The sequence below is a fragment of the Homo sapiens genome, chromosome 18 (genome assembly GCF_000001405.40).
Source record: "Homo sapiens chromosome 18, GRCh38.p14 Primary Assembly".
Classification (NCBI taxonomy): Eukaryota; Metazoa; Chordata; class Mammalia; order Primates; family Hominidae; genus Homo; species Homo sapiens.
In genome coordinates this window covers 34,752,815-34,773,426 of record NC_000018.10, presented here as the reverse complement: position 1 = coordinate 34,773,426, position 20,612 = coordinate 34,752,815, and the positions used below count along the sequence as shown (strand labels likewise).

Here is a 20,612-nt window from a genome sequence, read left to right as displayed (position 1 = left end):
CCTCTCTTTTAAATACATATCTTTCTCTGGTTCGATTTCTCTTGCCTGTGTTTCCGACTTTAAACTTTATTTTTACATCCAAGATTTTATACATCGTTATCTGAGAAATACAAGAGTCTATGTTCTTGAGCAGTGTGGTTGATTCCTGGTGCATGGTGTCACATACTTTCTCCTAGTTATTCAAACATGAATCCAGGGGCTGCAGTGAAGGGATTTTGCAGATGATATTATGATCCCAAATTAGCTGACCTTAAAATATGGATATCATCTGAGTGGGCCTGATATAAACACGTGAGTCACTGAAAAGCAAGGAGACTTCTCTGGCTAGTCATAAATGGGGAAGTCAGAGAGGACACTCTAGCTGGGCTGGAAGAAGCCACAAACACCCATGCCCTGAGCAGCCCACAGGGGCCATGAGGCAAAGAATAAGGGAGGCTCTAGGAACTGAAGGTAGTCTCCAGCTGACAGCCAGCAAGGAAACGGGGCCCCAATCCTACAACCACAAGAAAATAACACTTTCCCACAATGAATGCACTTAGAAGAGAACCTTGATCCCAACATGAGAATCACAGACCCAACCAGCACTTTGATTTTAGTTGAGTGTAAAGCTAAGCCGAAAACCCAGCCATGCTGCATTGGATTTCTGACCTACAAAAACTGTAAGATAATAAATGTGTGCTTCTTTAAGCTGCTAAATTTATGGTAATTTTTTACCAAGAATAGAAAATTCATAGTGGCAGCTAAAAATCCACATATTTAAACATGAAGCAGGGAAGAGGAAAATACTGATACACTAGTTGGAAGAAAAATGAGTGGAATATTAGTGTTTACTACTAAAAACATAGCTCAAGGCTACTCCTGCCACATAAGACCAGCGTTCTTCTAGTCACCTGACTGGTGAGAAATGAATCTAGTGGAGCATATTCGTTCATTCATAGAATATTGATTCAGGACCGACTAGTTATATGGGACTCACTTGGCTTACTTTTATGGTGATAGAGAAACATTTAGGTAAAAAGGTAACTGCATTTTTTTGGTTCAAAAGAAATTTGAAAAGAAATTTAGAGACAGTAACATAGAAAAAGCAGGTGTTCTAACTTAACATATCTGAATGAAGGATACCTTTAAAATATTTCAATTACTAGAAAAAGAGTATGTTGAGAAACTCTGACAGCCGAGATATAATTATAGACCTTTTCTCCTCTTTGCCTTTTAAACAAAATTTTAATTAAATTTTAGTTGATATGACTAATGGAAAGAAAATTCAGGCTGTAACCAGTAGGACTAAAAGATGGTGCAATGTTAGCTGTGGGTGTAGGATAGAATATTCCCTTGCCTTCTTAATTTTGTTCCTACTATTAAACAGGAGGGATTAGATATTTCTGATTTATTTCTCTTGTTGTCCTTTGTTGTTCATGATTTTAGGGCTGCATTTCATTGACTCCAAAGTAATTTCTGAAAAAAAAAAAGATCTGCTGACATTACAGGGTATCTGGATCATTAACCACGTCAATGCTGACCAAGGAAATAATGTTATGGTAGAAACAGCTATTTGTCTAAAATAAAGGCTGAGATGATGCCATTTTATATATCCTTATAAGAGTTTATGGGGTATTAATTTTTGTGGAAAGTTAACAAAAAATCTGGAAGCTGAAGAGAAGACTACTGATTAGAAAGGATTATTTAAAATATTATTTGTATTCTTTGTTCTGCTCCATTCCTCCTAGAATATCAAATAATCAACTTGGTGTCCCCTAATTTTTTAGAAACACTCATTCTTTTATTCTGTTAGAGAATGTGCTAGTTACATCATGGGGAAGGTATGGCAGGGTACAAAGATGAATGGTAAGGGGAAGAAGCGATTTGGAAAGGAGAACCCTTTGACTCAAAAAGAAGATGGGTTTTTTACAAGTGTGTTTTTGTTTTTGAGAAGGAGTCTCACTCTATCACTCAGGCTGGAGTGCAGTGGCACGATCTCAGCTCACTGCAATCTCCACCTCCCCGGGTTCATGCCATTCTCCTGCCTTAGCCTCCCAAGTAGCTGGGACTGCAGGCGCCCGCCACCACGCCCCGCTAATTATTTGTATTTTTAGTAGAGATGGGGTATCACCATGTTAGCCAGGATGGTCTCGATCTCCTGACCTTGTGATCCGCCCGCCTCGGCCTCCCAAAGTGCTGGGAATACAGGTGTGAGCCACCACGCCTGGACTTACAAGTGTCTTTTATAGCAGGGATTGGTCAACATTCTTTTTGTGGACCAAGGGACAAAATCAGGGATATTATATCAGTACATACATAACAAGAGAGAAAAAGAATTTACACAACATTTTTACTGAAGTTAAATATCCAATAATTGGGTACATTAAGAAAATGCTGGTCTACCAATGAGAAGAATGTAATTCTTGGCCAGGCACAGTGGCTCATGCCACCTGGCCTGGCCAACCTGGTGAAACCCTCTCTCTACTAAAAACACAAAATTAGCCGGGCGTGGTGGTGCACGCCTGTAATCCCAGCTACTTGGGAGGCTGAGGCAGAAGAATCACTTGAATCCAGGAGGCAGAGGTTGCAGTGAGCCAAGATCACATCATTGCACTCCAGCCTGGGCAAAAAGAGCAAAACTCCACTCAAAAAAAAAAAAAAAAGAATATAATTCTTCTTGGGAGTATGCATTTTTAAAAATTGGGGTTACAAGTTAGTGTTCCCTGTTATCAAATCGATTACAAATATTCATCTATAAAATCCATTAGTTCATTCTCTATAAAAAAGTAGGTTCTGGGCCTCATTTAGTTCATGGGTGACAGTGGCCTCTTGTTCAGAGTCCTTTTAGAATCCCGGGAACTGACTATTCTCAGCATACATTAGGAATTGAACAGAAGAAAATAAACATGAATGTCAGTGATAGGAACCAGTTGTCCACATGCAAAATCATAAACAAAGTAGGCAAGGGCTGTGGGGAAAGAACTATAGGGAATTAACCAACATTTATGAAATTTGGATTTAGATAATAGATAAAAAAGAAATCTCCTGAAAACATACACAGTCTGTGCTGTATGCAGACAGTATTCATTTTTTTTCTAGGTGATAGTTTTACAACAGCCGTTTTTGTTTTTTCCTCCTTTATGTAGTTTTAAAACTTAGTTTTGTTAGTATACGCAATAAATTTTAAATAAGGTATGGACCTAAAAGTAAACAATCTATTTTCACTTCAGATCCACTGATTTCTACGAAGTAAATACTATAATGAGTTTCTGCTATTGTTTGAATGTTTGTGCCCCACCAAATTCTCATGCTGAAACTTAATCCCTTAATGCGATGGTATTACCAGGTGGGGACTTTTAGCAGGTGATCAGGACTTGAGGGCAGAACTTTCATGGTGGGGATTAGTGCCCTTATAAAAGAGGCCCCAGGCCAGGCGTTGTGGCTCACACCTGTAATCCTAGCACTTTGGGAGGCCAAGGCGGGCAGATCACATGAGGTCAGGAGTTTGAGACCAGCCTGACCAACATGGTGAAACCCTGTCTGTACTAAAAATACAAAATTAGCTGGGCGTGGTGGTGCATGCCTGTAATTCCAGCTACTTGGGAGGCTAAGGCAGGAGAATTGCTTGAACCTGGGAGGCGGAGGTTGCAGTGAGCCGAGATTGCACCATTGCACTCCAGCCTGGGAAAAAAGAGTGAAACTCTGTCAAAAAAAAAAAAAAAGCCCCAGAGGGCTGCCTTGCTTCTTCCACCATGAGAGGACACAGTGAAAAGGGGCCACCTATGAACCAGAAGGCTGCCCTCCCTAGATACCAAATCTGGCAGTGCCTTGATTTTGGATTTTCTAGCCTCCAGAACTATGAGAAATAAATGTTGTTTATAAGCCACCCAGTTTATGGTATTTTTGTTAGAGCAGCCTGACACTTTCCAATAAAAAAATGCACTTACAAATATGCTACCTACATTTTGTTTCTTATTTCTTTTACTGTAGGGAAAAACTCCATTATAAGGTATCATAATTTATTGTGGGTTAGGTTTATTGCAGACTAAAATTACTTTCCTCTAATCAGCGAATATATTCAATGTTGACTAATGTTATGTCATGTAAACATTGCTGCTTCTGGTTGGCTAACTTTCTAGAAGGAAGGTTTCAACTTTGATTAAGATAAGCCAAGATCAATTATGTAAGCATTTTACAAATACCTCTGAATATCACAACTGTTGCATTTATTGTTAGAAAGGAAAACTTTGCAAAGACATATAGTACTTGCATTTAATGCCTCTGATGAAGGTAGAAACAATTTTTAAAACCTTAATTTAGCAAAGCATTCAAAATATGCTTGTTTTTTTTCCTTGGGCCTTAACTTTGTCTAATTTTGTAGAATGTAATATCTTTTCTCATCCTGAAATACAGGAATTTTATAAGGTACATTATAAAATAAATAAGACTTTCCTGATATCTCCTTCTCTAGGAAAGTCCTACCAGTGACCCTCACCCCCAACAACTCAGGGCACTGACTCCCTGAAGCTCTCACATACCATGTACATATTTCTATCATTATCTTTCTACATGGTTTTATAAATCTGCTTAAAAGCCCATATTCTCAGTTAGATTTTGAGCAACTTGAAGGAAGGTATTGCATGTCATTCATCATCACACTATCCTTGGTACCTAGCACAATGTCAAACACATAGCAGGAGCTCATTATACACTTAACTGAATTAAGAGGTCAATGAATGGACAGACTGAAGGGCCACTGGACAGGTATAAGCTTCTATTTTCACCCAGGGATGGATTAGCATCCTCACTTCTTCTCTACTGTTTTTCAAGAAATTCCAAGACAATTCTGGATGCAGGATAAGGATGTGGACCAGAAAAGAACAGAAAGAGGAAAAGGAAATGCCCAAGAATGAGAAAGTGCCTTTCTCAGAGAGCAGGAGGCATGGGATAAGGCCTGTGGACCACAGCTGCAGACAACACAGTGTGTCCACTTTAATGTTGAGTGGGGACAACACAGTGTGTCCACCTTAATGTTGAGTGCAGTGTTGCCAAGTCCCTGATTCCCTGAGCCCTTCCTTCCTTTCCTTTTCCTTTTCCTTTCTTTCTTTTCTTTGTTTTCCTTTTTTTGCTTTTTTTGGGGGGGCGTTCCTTCTTACCATTTTGTAGTCTTTTATTGGAAATCTCTAGCTCTCCTGAAAGGAGCCTAAGGAAGGCTCCGCTTGGCAAAGCTCTAAGGAGGACAGAGTGTCTACCACTTACCCTCTGCCTTCCCCTCCAATTCTGAGGCCATTGTAGTGGTAACACATGATAAGAACGTGGGACAATCATATCCCTTTTAATTGCTGAAAACACGGAGATTCTTCCTTTTATTTGTAATCTGGGTGATGTGTTTGAAGGGGAAGAGGAAACTTCTTCTGTGGGAACATTTTCCTTGGCCCCTATCGCAAGCAGTGGAAATGGCTTTTATTGACTCATTAGGACTACAAATACAGTAACAAATTCTTTCAACATCTGTAATGCTTTTCTCACTACTCATTTTAGATTGCTTTAGCTTCCTGTGAGGAGTCAAAACACATATATGATGTGTGACCAATGCTATGGTTTGAATGTTTGTCCCTTCTAAAACTCATGTTGAAACTTAACCCCCTGTGAGGCAGTGTTGAGAGGTGGGGCTTTTAAGAGGTGATTGGTCATGTGGGCTCTGCCCTCATGAATGGATTAATCCATGAGTAATCACAGGAGTGAGGTGGCCTTATAAGAAGGGGAAGACAGACCTGAGTTAGCATGCTCAGCCTCCTTACTATGTGTGCCCTGCACCATCTTGAGACTCTGCAGAGAGTCCCACTAGTAAGCAGACTCTCACCAGAGGCAGCCCCTTGACTTGGACTTCTGAACCACCATAACTGTAAGAAATAAATTCCTTTTCTTTATAAATTGCAAAGTTTCAAGTATTCTGTTATAAGCCACAGAAAATGAAAATAAGACAACCTACTTATATTTTTCTTCCATCCCCTCCTTCCCCAAACTTCAGCCCCATTTTTATCCACTGGGGCTGGGGAATAAGATGTAGAGGAGAAACTTGAGGAATAGATGCGTACTTTGCATCCTCACAGTCATGATTAGCTGTAAGCCTAGAAGCCTGGGGCTAAGGTGACCTGCCCAGGGCCCTAGGAAACATCTTCTAGAGACTCTGAGAGGGTAGACATGTGGAGATGCCGGTTTCTACCCTTACCATGAGTCTAATTACCATGCCAGTTATCATAGAACTATGTGTATGTATCAGGAGAACATTACGGTTTTCATTTTTAAAAATTCATCCAATATTAATTAAAAAATGAGACTTTTTTAATAAGTAAACTTTTTAAAAAGAAAAGAAAACGTTCTTACACATGAACTATGAATCAATATTTTTTTCCAAGAGAAAATGGATATGGTAATACAATGGAAGTGTTGACCCAGCAGAGAATAAGACTGCTCATTGTTACTAGTGATCTAGCTTATTGCTTACACTTTTAAATTTGAAAAAAAAACTGGAGCAAGTTCCTTTGTTTCTTTAAGTATTGTCTCTTTTCTTATTTTTGTCTCATGTAAACAAATGTGGTTAAAACTCTGACACAAAGAGCTAATTTTGTTCTTTCAGAAAAAAACTTAAATGTTTTCCAAAAGCTTTAAAATATTTTCCTGTGCTTGTAAAAGAAAATACAAATATAAGGGGGATTTAATGTTTGATATTTTATAAAGTTCTTGGAAACCATTTTTATTTTATTTTATTATTATTACACTTTAAGTTTTAGGGTACATGTGCACAATGTGCAGGTTTGTTACATATGTATACATGTGCCATGTTGGTGTGCTGCACCCATTAACTCGTCATTTACATTAGGTATATCTCCTAATGCTATCCCTCCCCCTTCCTCCCACACCACAACAGGCCCCGGAGTGTGATGTTCCCCTTCCTGTGTGTTCTCATTGTTCAGTTCCCACCTATGAGTGAGAACATGTGGTGTTTGGTTTTTTGTCCTTGCGATAGTTTGCTGAGAATGATGTTGGAAACCATTTTGATGGCACTGCATTTATGATACCAAGGTTAGAGAAAAGAAGAAAAACATCCATCCAGATTTAAACCATTCCAAGGTCAGAATTATATTGTATATGTATCCAGAGGTTCATCCTTTTAGTATGAACTAAACGGTTCATATGCTTTAGTATTTAAGCATTTTCAGATTTCAAGACTACTTAGGAGTCATCTCTACCATTTGTGCCTCATAATACCCCTTTTATTGTTGTGTAAACATATATAACAATATTAGCAATATTTGTAACAGAATCTAGTTTAATAAACTTAGTACCAAATGTAAACTATAGGATTCATGATGGTAATTAGTCCAAACAACTGGCATACTTACAATTGCATTTCTTCTGAACAAACCTAAGCTTGCATGCTGTTCTGTAGGTGGAGAGTCGGATGCGATCCAGATCTTGAGCCCCTAGTGCGGGGAAAAAGGACACATAAGGTATGCCATGTGTGCAGAAAGAAATTTACAATGTTTACAAATAAAACAACTGTAGATATGATCCTTACCCCTAATTTTATTTTTATTAGAATATAAATATAACTTTAAGACTTGAACAGGTCTGTCCTATTCAAGGACAAGTTCCTCAGGTTCTAGGGAAAAAGAGCACACACATGTAATCAACATTGGAGATTAGGTTGTAAACCATATTCTTGGATCAAGAAACACAATGTCATCCCTGTTGTGTCCACCACTTCTGAAAACAGTCTGCTCAAGCTGTGACCTACAGTGAAACAGCGAGATGATATAGATACTATCATCAAATAAGCATTTAAAGTGCATTGCTATTGGTCATTAGAATGTGGCTGTTAGGTGACCATGTACTGACTGCTGAGCATCTTCTCTGTGTGCCCTTAGGCCAATTGCTTTTAGAGCTTCAGTTTTCTCACTTGGAAGATGGGGATGATGATAATAATAGTACTTATTGCACAGGACTGTTGTAAGGATAAATGAGTGAATATACCTAAGGCACTTAAACACCGTCTGGCACACAGTAAATGCTGCATAAGTATTCATTTTTATTACTAACAACTTTCTTGTGATCCTTCCTGTCAATCTCAGAGGAAGACATGCCTTTCTAAAACAACCTTTCTTTTACTGTGGCTTCCAGTTCCTTCCTAACTTAGAGGGAACACATTCCCTATATTCTTAAACTACTTTCCTTATTTCACTCTCCCACTTAGGAGTCCAGCATGGCTCCTGATGCCCAGAACATCAGGTCTAAAAGCTCTGCTCAGAATCCAAGCTCGTCTGCAGTTTCTTTCCAGCTTACTTGCCTAACGACATTGCCCACCACTTTCTACCACAGAATCTCTCGTAGCCTTGGTCAGTCTCATCTCAATACCCTGCAGATGGGCTGCTTGTTACATCAAGACCTGAGCTCCTAGTATTCCTCCCACCCTCCTTTGAATGAGTTAATCTCTAGACTTTGTCTAGAACACATTAGACTATCAATAAATGTCTGCTTTTCTCCATTTCTACATATTTTCTTTTTCTAAGCCCATGTTTATGGTCCATAACAGATATAAAGGCATGTATTGAACTTTTATCTTTACCAGTCATATACTAATAAAATGTGCTATGTGAATCCTTTAGAGTAAAACAGAATAGAAAGTAAATGAACTATCCTGGAAGCGATTATATTAGACGGCCAATTAAGTGCTTTCCCAGTGAAACTCAGCATGAATTAGCAAGTGTCCCCCACTAGGGGATTTAGCATTTCTTCAACTCAAACCGATATCTTCAGATTCACTTGAAGTGTTGCCAATAGTCCTATTACTTTGTGGTTTTACAAAGCAGATCATTAAACGGTCACTCTTAATAAAGCTTATTCTTTGACAAACAGGCTTAGTGACACTGAGCACTTGAGGGATCAAAGAGATGGGGAACTACCCTCACCCAATGCAGGAATTCCCTTAGAAATGTTCTCAAGAGATGAACATTTAGCCAATGGCCACGTAGGATTATTTCCAATGATAGAGAAGATTATTACTTGTGAAAATAAATGAACTTTAAAGGAAGTAAAATTTAACTCTGTCACTTCCCAGTTGTGTGAGTTTCACCAAGTTTTTCCTTGGCATCTCAATTTCCTCATGGATAAAGCGAGATAACAATATCAACTTTACTGGCTGGTAATACAGATATAAAGTCTTGACTTCTGCACTGAGAACATAATGACCACTTAACAGTAAATGGGCCCCTTAAGAGGCTTCATGTGCCATTTCTGAACAAAAATATGTGATAGAAATTTCTTTTTTATATTTGAGCTTTGATTTACCTCCCTGTAACTTCAACCTATTTGATCTAGTTTCCCCTGGAGTCACATACTCTTTTCCCCCTGCCATTTGAGAATTCATTTCTGAAATATTGCAAAGCAGCTACATTATCATTATTAGCATCCTCATTACCATCTGAAAATTATGTGCAACAGTCCTTGTCATCATGGACTTTAAAATTTAGCTGGGGAGGTAGCTTCTCCTTGACTTTTTTTAGGGTAAAAGATGTTCAACTCCACAGCCATTTCAGGTATACTGTTTATCTGTCTGGTACCCAGTAGGGCTTCAATTCATGGCAGTTGTTATTATTATTTTCATTATGATCAAGCATGGTTTGAAACCCTTAAACATTCTAGTCACCCTGTTCTGTGACTGGCTAATATCTCTTTAAAATTAGGTGTCCAAAATTAATCCAAATAGCTATTGCTTTACCTGTATAGAATATACAGAAAGCAATTATTACTACCTTTGATAAGGACTCCTAACTAATGTGATCTTTTTTTAAAAATAGACGGCTCATTATGCCAGCTTTTATTAAGTTTGAAGTTAATTAAAAAACTGCTTTGAAAAATCATATGCACTTCTATATAAGTCAAATCTTTTCTATTTGCTATTTAAATGCCTATTTTGGAGCTAAGGGTAGGACGTCATATTTATCTGGTTAGTTACTTTTAAAATTTAGCTCATACTAGGAACTTTTCTGAATCTTTTAAAATTCTTAAGTTGTCACTGGAACTTCAAAAATCTTTCCTAGTTTCATGCCCTCTGTAAATGTGACTCGTGGGGAATGAGCTCTCTAAGATGCCCGATAACCAGAGACAGAGAGACTTTTAGAAATACCTGAATGCTAAATCTGCCTTTGCTCCCAGATGAGGATGTACTTTTATTGGTGCTAAGTTTGGCTCAGCAATCAGGAGAGTCTCAATATCTGTAAATAATCACTTAAAAGAAAACATTAGGGGCACAGATTATTTGTGTAAGTTCTTCAAGCATAATGATTTAAGCTCCAGATGAAAAAATGTTTGTGATGTGGCACATAGTTAAGTTTCTCAGTTTCTGCAAGACCTTACCCTCTGAGCACAGTAACCCTGGCACCTCTGCACTTTCCTCTGATTGAAGTCCTGGGGGAAATACGGCAAAGGTGCACTTCTCCAGGATGCAGTAAAGAGGGATGTAGAGATGCTGCTTTGGGCCTGAAGTGCACTGACTGCTCTCTCCTGTCGTATCACTGTGTGGACTTAACTGACCCTGTGTTTTGTTCAAGAATCAGGAAGAGGTCTGTAGGTCTATAAATGCTGTATAAATTCTTCCTGGCTGATGATGTAAGCCCTGAATATTAAAAGGGATGTGGTGAACAATACAATTTAGTGTGTCAGATATAGCAGCACACAACCGTGCACAATCAATGTATGTGTTAGCTGCAGGATCCATCCAGAAAGGGACCAGAAGAAGCTGGGCTGAGATATGATACATAGCCTCTTACTCTGTTTATCTGCCTTGTCAAAATAAATGTATTTTTCTTTGCCCCAGCAAACAATGAACTTAACCCAGTTTTACATGTGTGGTCTTTTCTTGAAAGTTTATAAACCCAAAAACCTACTTTGGGATTAGTTCTGTGTCTTCATTCGAGTCATTGATTAAAACCAAGGACCAGAACAGGTCCACAAACAGAGCCTTCCAGGATACTACTAGACGCCTTCCTCCAAGTTGATAGACCCATTAGTTGTGGCTTTAGACATGGTCATGACATCCCCCATAAATCTACCTAACTGTATTGTGACCCAGTCCACAATTCCCCAACACATGCACAGTCCAACAGCTTTGGTCAATATCTTGCTGAAATTAAGGTTAATTTTTATCAGATGGTATTTTTCTGATCTAGCAGTCTGGTAGTCTTATTAAAAAGCGTATTAGCTGACTTAATTTATCTATTAAAAAGATGGAATTTAAATAAATGAGTAAAGAAATAAAATCAGCAGGGCAATCTTTGCTTTTAGTATGTTGATATGTCTAGAATTACCACTATATTTTGGCCAAGATCTAAAAAACATCCATTTTGTTATGAAACTTATAACCAGTTCATACCCTAAACTCCAAAGAATCTATACTTTTTCTTTTTAATAAAAAAGTACAGAATTTTCTCGTTACATTTTTTTTCAATGTACTCTTCATTATTTTTCAAAATAATGGATAGTGGTTGTTTTCTGAATTATATCACTGGAATATAATTCGTTAAATCTGGTGATTCAACTGATCTAAGTGATTTATTAGTTTTGCTTCATACTAATACAGTGGGGGATGGCATACATAATTAAGAGTTGAGATAAATACTATTTTCTCTACTTCTACATATATTTGAAACTTTTCATAATAAAAAAACTAAAACAAATTTATTTAAGGCAACTTAGTGCTCTTGCACCGTCTCCTCAAGCCTCTTGTACCCATGTCATAGTTGGAAGGAAGTAATAAATAGGACAGCAAAGACACAGATTGTTTACACTGTTATCAACAGCAGTTTTTCCTTTCTTTAGCCCTTTTTGAAAAGATTCTCTTTCTTCTCTTCTCCCTCTGTCCCTACTTCCCTCTCTCTCCCTCTCTCACTCCCTTCTTTCCTTCCACCTTTTCCCTACCCATTCATTTGTTCATTCAAACAACCAATCAACCAACAAATCAACGAACCAGTCTTATCTAACTTTTGGTTTTAGCTTTTGCACTCTGAACATTTTCACACAATTTTTGTATGTTTTGCCTTTTATATTTTGATAGCTCATTATATAGCCATTTTTGATAGCTCTATTAATATATAGCCATTTTGATTCTTAAATATCTCATTCATTTAAAAGTTTTGCTCAATACATATTTCCAGAATAAAAATGAAGCCTATGATGAACCTGCTGCCTGAACTCTGCCACGCTTTATCATTGGCTCTGTGTGTGTGTGTGTGTGTGTGTGTGTGTGTGTGTGTGTGTGTGAAGGATGGAGGGAGAGAGAGAGATACTGAGAGAGAGAAAGAGAGAGATACTGACAGGAAGATAAAGGAGTTTGGGGGTAAAAAATGATTGCTACCTTAGGTAGCTGAGTGGAATAGAGTATCCCTCATTGAGCTAAGTAAGGTACAAACAGGGAGGAATAGGTTTGTTGATGGGTGAAGATAGTTTTGGGCTAAAGAGTTTGAGTTGCTTGTAAGATGTCCAAGTAAGATATCCACAGGACAGTTGGATATAAGGATTAGAGCTTTAGTATATTCCAGAAATTATCAACAAGCACACAAAATGTAGTAGTGTGCGTGACTGGGCCAAGATTGCCAACAGGAGACTCTGTGCACAAGTAGGGCTATTCTATATTTCTAGCGACAAAATGAGGCACAAACTTGGGAACAGGAGTGCTCTCCCCACTTCTGAGCTGTGCCCAGCTGCTTGGCAGTTGTTCAAAGACCGCAGGCTTTGGGAACACTAGAAGGCAGCCGCCTTGGCAGGGATGATAGGTATTTTTGTGATGGGCACTATTAGTGGAGTGACAATGAGCCCTCCTCAGACTGCTTCATTAGCAGAACACTTGAAAACAAGTAGGCAAGGCTGGAAGGGAAGTTTAGTTTATGTGCTGCCTATTTTGGATAAGCTGGCTCATGAGAAATGAGAGTTGTTTTGGGGGACTCTGAACACTCAAGGGTTATAGCAATAAAGGTAAAGGCTTGAGAGAAAGACAAATTGTATATGGAGACAACTGGTCAAGAAGAAATCTTTAAATTCTCTGACTTCAGTGTCTACAGGGTACTAAGAGACAGAAAAAGAGAAGTAGAGGGGACAGAAAAAGCAGGAGACTATGTTAGGGTGATGACATAGAGAGAATTTCTGGGGTGGCGATCCATGGTGTTAATATCTTAAAAAGACTGAGGAGCATGAGAAATGAAGAAGCAAGTGAAAACAGTCACCGTATCCATGAACCTACGGTGGTGGGGTCATTCATGTCATTTTTCTGAATTTTTGAGATCGGTTTTCTTAAACTCATAGTGTGCGTTTCAAAATCATGCCCTAGGTTCCTTTCCAATCGTGCATGTGCCGACTTCAGCCAACACTCTCAAGGATGGCCTGCCTTCAAATAATTCAACAGTACTTAGGCCGGGCACAGTGGCTCAAGTGGTAATTCCAGCACTTTGGGAGGCCAAGGTGGGTGTTTCACTTAAGATCAGAAGTTTGAGACCAGCCTGGCCAGACATGGTGAAACCCAGGGTGTCTCTACTAAAAATACAAAAATTAGCCAGGTGTGGTGGTGCACCTGTAGTCCCAGCTACTTGGGAGGCTGAGGCACAAGAATCGCTTGAACAGGGAGGCGGAGGTTGCAGTGAGCTGAGATCGCGCCACTGCACTCCAGCCTGGGCGACAGAGTGAAACTGTGTCTCAAAACAAAAGCAAAAACAAAAGCCAAAAATGGTATTTGTTGAGTAGTTTCATTTGCCTCCTTTTGATTTCAAGTCCTGTCTCTGCTGACAGGCCGGTGGCATCACTCTCATTTCTCCCCAGGACCTTCCTTACCTTGTTAGGCAGCCTTCAATGTTCTCAAAGTGTGTTTTCCAATCACTTCCCTTCCATTAAAACCTACCCATCCTGTGCCCAATCGGCTTTTAAACAAGGCTTGATTCAGCATCTAAGGGGAATGGATTTGAAGGTACATGTCCTAGGTCTGTCCCTAAAAAGGAGTTCACAGCAGTGAGTGTTGTGGACATGTTCACAAGTAACTACCATATAAGGCTAAGTAAATGTGCTCTGAGAGTAAAACAACAGAAAAGGAGAGTTTAATTCCAAGAACAAACAATTTATTCTGTTAAAAGACAGTCTGATAAACTTATTTAAGCTGCTAAACTTATATGATGGCTGAAAAAGCCAAGGTGAGGATGATGTTTATATTTAACTAGAGGGTTTTTTTGTTTTTTTGTTTTTTTCAGCTTTAATCCAAGGTACTAAGCAAACTGATAATTAAGGCATTATTGTGAAGAGAATTTTTGGTTAAGGGAGAACTTGTACAGAATTTCTTAAATCAAAGTAGGTGGTCACCCAATTTTTTATATAAAGCTATTTTTTTCTGTTTGTTTTTTAGTCTATGCTTCTCTTAATTTCATTTCTTTGCTGTTTCTTCCTGCTTCTGCTGCTTATAGTAATGAGCTAAGAGTGAATGTTTAACACATATGTGCTGCAATCACCTGAATTTGCCAAACTTTCTTATCCATTTTTCTTATCAATTGCTCTCTGTTCTTTACCTTTTCTAAGACCTAGACCTCCTCAACTTGCCTAACTTTAGATAGACTTCTTCCTTGCTCTAGGCTTCTGACCTCTGTTTTCTTACAGCATTTACTTTAGAAAACTTTTCATTGTAAATTCTTTCTCTGCCCCTTTGAGATGTAAATATCTTGCCAAGTTTACAACCCAGGAATGTCTTTCTCAAGAACCTGGGTGCCAGCCCTTTGAAATATAATAATTGAAGGACTTATCACCTCTATCTCCAAGTCTTATCAGGAGGGTAGAAGCCTAACTTTTAAATGTGACAATTAGCAAACAGATGGCCTAATCACATTGACCAATCTCCTCCCTGAAGTCCTCCAGTATTTTTCCCCAGTGCTTAAAGTACTTCCTGCCTTTTCTTCCAGGGAAGTTGAGTTCAGTCTTTCTCCCTTGTTGCAATAGTCTTGGATAAAAGTCTTCCCTGCCTGTTTAACTCTGGCCATTACAACTTTTCTTTCACATTTCTAATTTCTAAAGCAAAGAATCTCATTGGCACTTTCTTTTGTTGTTTTTTCTTTAAATATTTCTATATAATACTTAGATGAGAAGATTTACAAGTCTAGTCCTTTTTTGCTCCCTGTCTAGAAAGCACAGATTCCTAGAAGTTACTTTTTGAATCTTGATGTCAGTCTTCTCTGATAAGAGTTTCCTTTCCTTTCTTTGGTGTGCTGCTGATACAGCTGGGATACCCATATATTTTTCAACCATTTAACACATTCGCAGTGATATTACCTTTCTCTTTTGTATGACAGTCTACCTGTCAAAATCAATTGCTCCCTTTGAAACCAGCCAATTGTTTTATCCAGCCGAATCCTACTTATTGTGGATGTGCCCTACTTAGTGCTGATATAAACATGTTGCTCAAACTAATGAATTATTAAGGTCAGACGTATTTAGCTGTTTTTGCCAACATTTGAGTTGGAACACCCAGGGAGGAAAGATATATATTTGTTTGGCTTGTTTATCTATTCTGACCGTTAATCACAAGAACTCACAGAACTAATAAAGCTGCAAGACATCACTGTGATGTTTCTATGAAAACACAAAGTTATAATTTGGGAACCGAATGCACAATTTTCCTAAGTCTCTGTCACTTGAAGAAAAACTTAGAGTTGTCTTATTTCTATGTCTCTAAAAATCATATCGAGCTTTCTTTGAGTTGGGCAATTTTAATCCAATAGACATTTGTAACATATGTATTTGTCTGAGCCAGGCACTATATCAGGTTCAGAAAGCACTGGGATACTTAAACTCAAAGAAGGATTTACAAAATCATTGAATAAGCATACTTTTATAGTTCTTACAGTGTGCTGTCTGATACAGTCTTTAGTGTTATAATGATAAGTTCAAATATTTTTCCCCAGATTTTATTGCCTTTTTATGGTAAATATTTTTTTTCTACTGTGTCTGAGAAGACATTGTCCCATGATGTCTTATAATATAAGACATAATTTTATGCCTTTTTAATATAAGAATGTGCTGTTGGAGGATACCTGTGCTGCTTTGGATTTTGTTTAGATGGACAAGTACTCACTAGGCTCCTTGCTCTGTTGGATTTGTAACTGCACAAAGGTCACAATTCCAGGTGAAGACACAGTACCACACATGGGGTCTAGGAAATTGGAAGGCCTGGCTGAAACTCTCCCAAACACTCTAAGCACATCTCTAAAAGTGGAAAAAGCAAGGAACACGACTGAGATTCCCCACATCAATTTTAATTTTCTTTCCTCCTTGTTAGTTCTAATGCTATCTTGGTACCACCAGATTATTGGGGAATGATAAAGGAAAATATGAATCTTATTATCTGGGACTTTCCTTTTTCTGTTCTGACCCTCATTCTTGCCAGTCACTTCCAATCTTTAGTAGAAACCTAATTTTGTCTACTGCCTTCTTAGGGAAAAAGGCTTACCACTCACTCTTGCTCATCCTCATTCCGTATGCAGGAAGAAGAGATAAAAAGACATGAAGAGAACCATGCTTTTTCCTTTATAATATTCAACTTGAGATGTGTGGTTTTCTCCCTAATGTCAAGTTCTTTTTCTTTATGAATAAGAAAAATGGTCTACAAGGGAGATGCTACCAACCAATTACTTATACAGCAACTGTGCACTTACATAAACCAATAGCCTTTATTGAATAGATTCTTCACTGGAGTCAGTAACTTAGTTTGGTTTCCCTTGTGTAGCAGGTCAACTCTAAGCTCCTTTTATCTTTTATTTTCCTTAGTATTTTTAAAAAAACCAGTTTGCAGAATAGATTCTCCTTTTCTACATGAGGTCTGAATGACAAGTTTATAGTTTGGTCCAGTAATTGTGCCTAACTTCTCCTTTCCACATAAACATATGATATCACTTTGCAGGGAAGAAAGTCAATAATTCATTTCAAAAATTTTATCTAGTGCCTACAATATGCCAGCTGCTGTGACAGTTCAGGGTGATGAACACAGACTTTAAAGTTTAGTGGACTGTATTAATGTCAACACTAAATAGTGTTTATCAACTGTCTGTGTATGTGCATATATGTGTGAATGTAAATATATAAATCTATAAACATTTTCTTCCACATAAAATAGACAGTCTAATAGCAAATTAGGATGAATTACTGACTAACTGAACTCTTGCCAAGTAAGAAGTAAAAAAGGCCAAAATGTACACTTCATGAAAGGAACTTAGGATCCTAAGGAAAAGTACAAATATCATAAAGATAAATGGTTATTTCTAGCCTTTCCATGAGTATTCAATGGAAACTATAGGGTGTTCCTTAAAAGATCCATACTTACTCATCTCTGCAAACAGCTGTCTTCTTTCTGCCATGGTATTTCCTCTTTTCCCACTATCTTCAATCATTCTATGAGACAAAATAGTTACAATGTGTATTATCCTCACGCTATTGAGGCAAGAAGCCATTTCTCTGTAAACGTACTTGCTGTACTTGTGACACAAACACATAGAAAACCTATTTAAAACTGTTTGTTTTAAAAAGTACAGCTTTAGTTTTACTAACCTAAATTGCTGCGCATATTTTTCCATATATATTATTGTTGTAGTTGTTGGAGGGGGGATAAAATTTTTATTGTCTAACATAAAAATAACTACTGTAGCAAATGACCTTGTGCTATAACTAAATACAACAATCTACCATCTGTTAGGTGACTCGTTTCCCATTCAGTTTCTCTTTCAATTTTAAGAATACCTATGACTGGAGAACAGATATTGTGGATCCCATTCAACAGATGATGAAACCAAGAGTCTGATGGACTTGGTGAATGAAGGATGCAGACGTTTGGATTCTAAGACCAGTATGGCTTCCATCTCATCCTGTTGCCAGTTGTCCCTTATACACTCAAAACCTCAATTTATAAACAGGTAATTTTCTAAATGTTCATTTCTAAGTTGAGTGTTTGGAACTTGCAACAGTTCCTGTATATAACAACTTCATGCAAGGTGGTTAGATTCAAATATCTTTCCTTAACCATACTATTGTCTGCAGTGGAACTATTTAAAATATACTACTAAAATGCCAACAGTTAAAACAGAGAATTAAAATGTGATAGAAAAAATAAACTTCAGCTTGAGGAAAAAGAAAATAATGAGAAAGTTAATGGATATGTTTAATCATGTAGAGGGCTTTGGGCTAAATATCAAGAGTTTTAGAGGCTGACGGATTTGACTTTTTATTGCATCTAATTAAACTTTCAAAAACCAAAGTTTCCTCTCATGTGCACATATATAGATGCACACGTATGTCTACCACACTGACTTCTGCCTTGATTCTCAGGCATAGTTAACAAAAGGTGTAGCTGCATGGTTTTTTGCCTATGGCTATGGCCCCTGCTCTTTCTCAAATCTAGGACTCTGTCCATGCTCTTTTTTGACAGGATTGTCCTCTCCCTATGCCAAGCTAACTTGCTGTCACCCTTCAAATCTCAGTTTGTCTATCTTCCTCTGAAATCTTCCCCAACTTTCTACAACTGCCTGGGTTTGGTGCCTGTCCTCTGCACCTCCACAGCACACAATGCCTTTCAATTCTGAGCACTCACTCAACAAACAGCATGTTCACCACAAAAAATAAGTTGGTGAGGTGATGGATATGTTAATTAGCTTGACTGACTCTTCCTACAATGTATACACGGATCAACACATTACATTGTACCCCATAAATATACACTATAATTATCTGACAATTAAAAATAAACGAATGGAAACAAAACAAGCCTTTACTGAGTGCCTTTCATACTCCAGGAACCCTACTACACTTTGAGTGCCCCACAGTGATCAAGCCAGGATCACACTGTCCTATGAGCGCATCACAGTGATCAAGCCAGGACCACGCTGTCCTCTGAGTGCACTACAGTGATCAAGCCACAGTGCTTGTCCTCAAGGTGCTTATACTGTAGTGGCAGAGATACCGAAGCATAAAAGCAATTAAGACACAATGAGGTAATTATAGCCATAGAAGTGGAAAGAAAGGTGTGACCATGAGAGGGGTTGATTTCCTGAGGATAAATTTAACAAAACTACAGCAGAAGACTGCTCAAAAGGTAATGAGCTGTGTACAAAATGACTCACCTGAGGGTAAAATTAAAAAAAAAAATTGGTGGTAAAAGTGATGTTTATCAAATTGGTCCAGTAGCCTGACCAGATGCTTTTATGGGTGAAGCACTATTTGCCCATTGCCAGGAAGGGAGGGAAGGACGTAGAGTAGCTTTGGTTTATGGAGTCAAGGGAAGAGTGTGCACATATTAACAATGGGTTAGATAATATACCAGGGACTATCCTAAATAATTATTGGAAAGGAGTAGAGTTACTAATGAAGCTTCATCAATTTGGTAACAATTTGTTGCTGAACATGGTCAAATACTTTCTTTTTATAAGATTTCATATACGCAGGTAAAGTTGATATATAGATCTAGAAAAAAACACTCCCTTCCTAATTCATATAACCTCATCTCCTTTATTTCAGAAGAAGTGGGTAGATAATACTGACTTTCACAAAATAGTATGAATATAGCTTCCAATTTTTATTTCAAGGGCTCAGAAGTAGACTTGAGGCAGTAAGAGAGATAGAGGATAGAACAAGTGATGTGTTCCTGGATCTGTGTGTTAGAATGAGATGAAAAGAATGATTAAAAATAAATCACAGGCCGGGCGCGGTGGCTCACGCCTGTAATCCCAGCACTTTGGGAGGCCGAGGCGGGCGGATCACGAGGTCAGGAGATCGAGACCATCCCAGCTAAAACGGTGAAACCCCGTCTCTACTAAAAATACAAAAAATTAGCCGGGCGTAGTGGCGGGCGCCTGTAGTCCCAGCTACTTGGGAGGCTGAGGCAGGAGAATGGCGTGAACCCGGGAGGCGGAGCTTGCAGTGAGCCGAGATCCCGCCACTGCACTCCAGCCTGGGCGACAGAGCGAGACTCCGTCTCAAAAAAAAAATAAAAAATAAAAAAAAAAAAAAAATAAAATAAATAAATAAATAAATAAATAAATCACAAAGGATGGTAGTCTAGGGAGCTCTGACAGAAAATATCAGAGGTAAAGCCTGGCATCTGAACTTGCAGGCCTTGCTGCTTGTACTACTTGTTTTGCGGTGTTGTGACAACTCTACTCCTATTTAACACTTTGTCTGTTTCTCTGTAAGGTTTCGAGAGCACTAACCTCACATATCTTAATTTTTCACAGTGCCCAGCAAAGTCCAACCAACAAATGATATGGCCAGCTAGTATTTATTGAATAAATGAATGAAAGAGAAAAAAAAGAGGAAAGAGAGAAAACAGCAAAACAAGCTAAGTTTGGTTTCCATGAAATGAACTTTCAATTATATTTCCCAAATCTGACTTACAGAAGTGTGAAATTCAAATTGTACTAGTTTCAGAGATTAATTATTTGAAATGACAGAAACTAATTTACATTGTTTATAATCTAGGACCATACATTTTAAAGCAAAATCAAGTCTTATGAAGAAGTTGAAAAATATGCAAAGTACACTGATGTCAACTTTTGTTCTATTCC

At 38.1% G+C, this 20,612-nt stretch overlaps 1 protein-coding gene and 1 long non-coding RNA gene across 66 annotated transcripts in view; one reads left to right on the top strand and one right to left on the bottom strand.

Annotated features, from left to right (window-relative positions):
* The window catches only part of DTNA (dystrobrevin alpha), a 398,533-nt gene that overhangs the window by 118,418 nt on the left and 259,503 nt on the right, over window positions 1-20,612 (bottom strand). For all 65 annotated transcript variants that reach the window (XM_047437323.1, XM_047437332.1, XM_047437326.1 and 62 more), the window contains 2 exons: window positions 17,384-17,451; window positions 7,386-7,466 (listed from right to left, as the gene is read on the bottom strand). In XM_047437323.1, the coding sequence (XP_047293279.1) occupies window positions 7,386-7,466; window positions 17,384-17,450 (148 nt within the window). In that variant the 5' untranslated portion in view covers window position 17,451. Of the gene's footprint in view, window positions 1-7,385; window positions 7,467-17,383; window positions 17,452-20,612 lie in introns of those variants that run through there.
* Window positions 5,761-20,612, top strand: part of DTNA-AS1 (DTNA antisense RNA 1) — a 31,274-nt gene continuing 16,422 nt past the window's right edge. Inside the window, exons 1-4 of the long non-coding RNA NR_199046.1 lie at window positions 5,761-5,884; window positions 7,433-7,493; window positions 13,364-13,494; window positions 17,792-17,969. This is a non-coding gene — a long non-coding RNA (DTNA antisense RNA 1). The remainder of the gene's footprint in view (window positions 5,885-7,432; window positions 7,494-13,363; window positions 13,495-17,791; window positions 17,970-20,612) is intronic.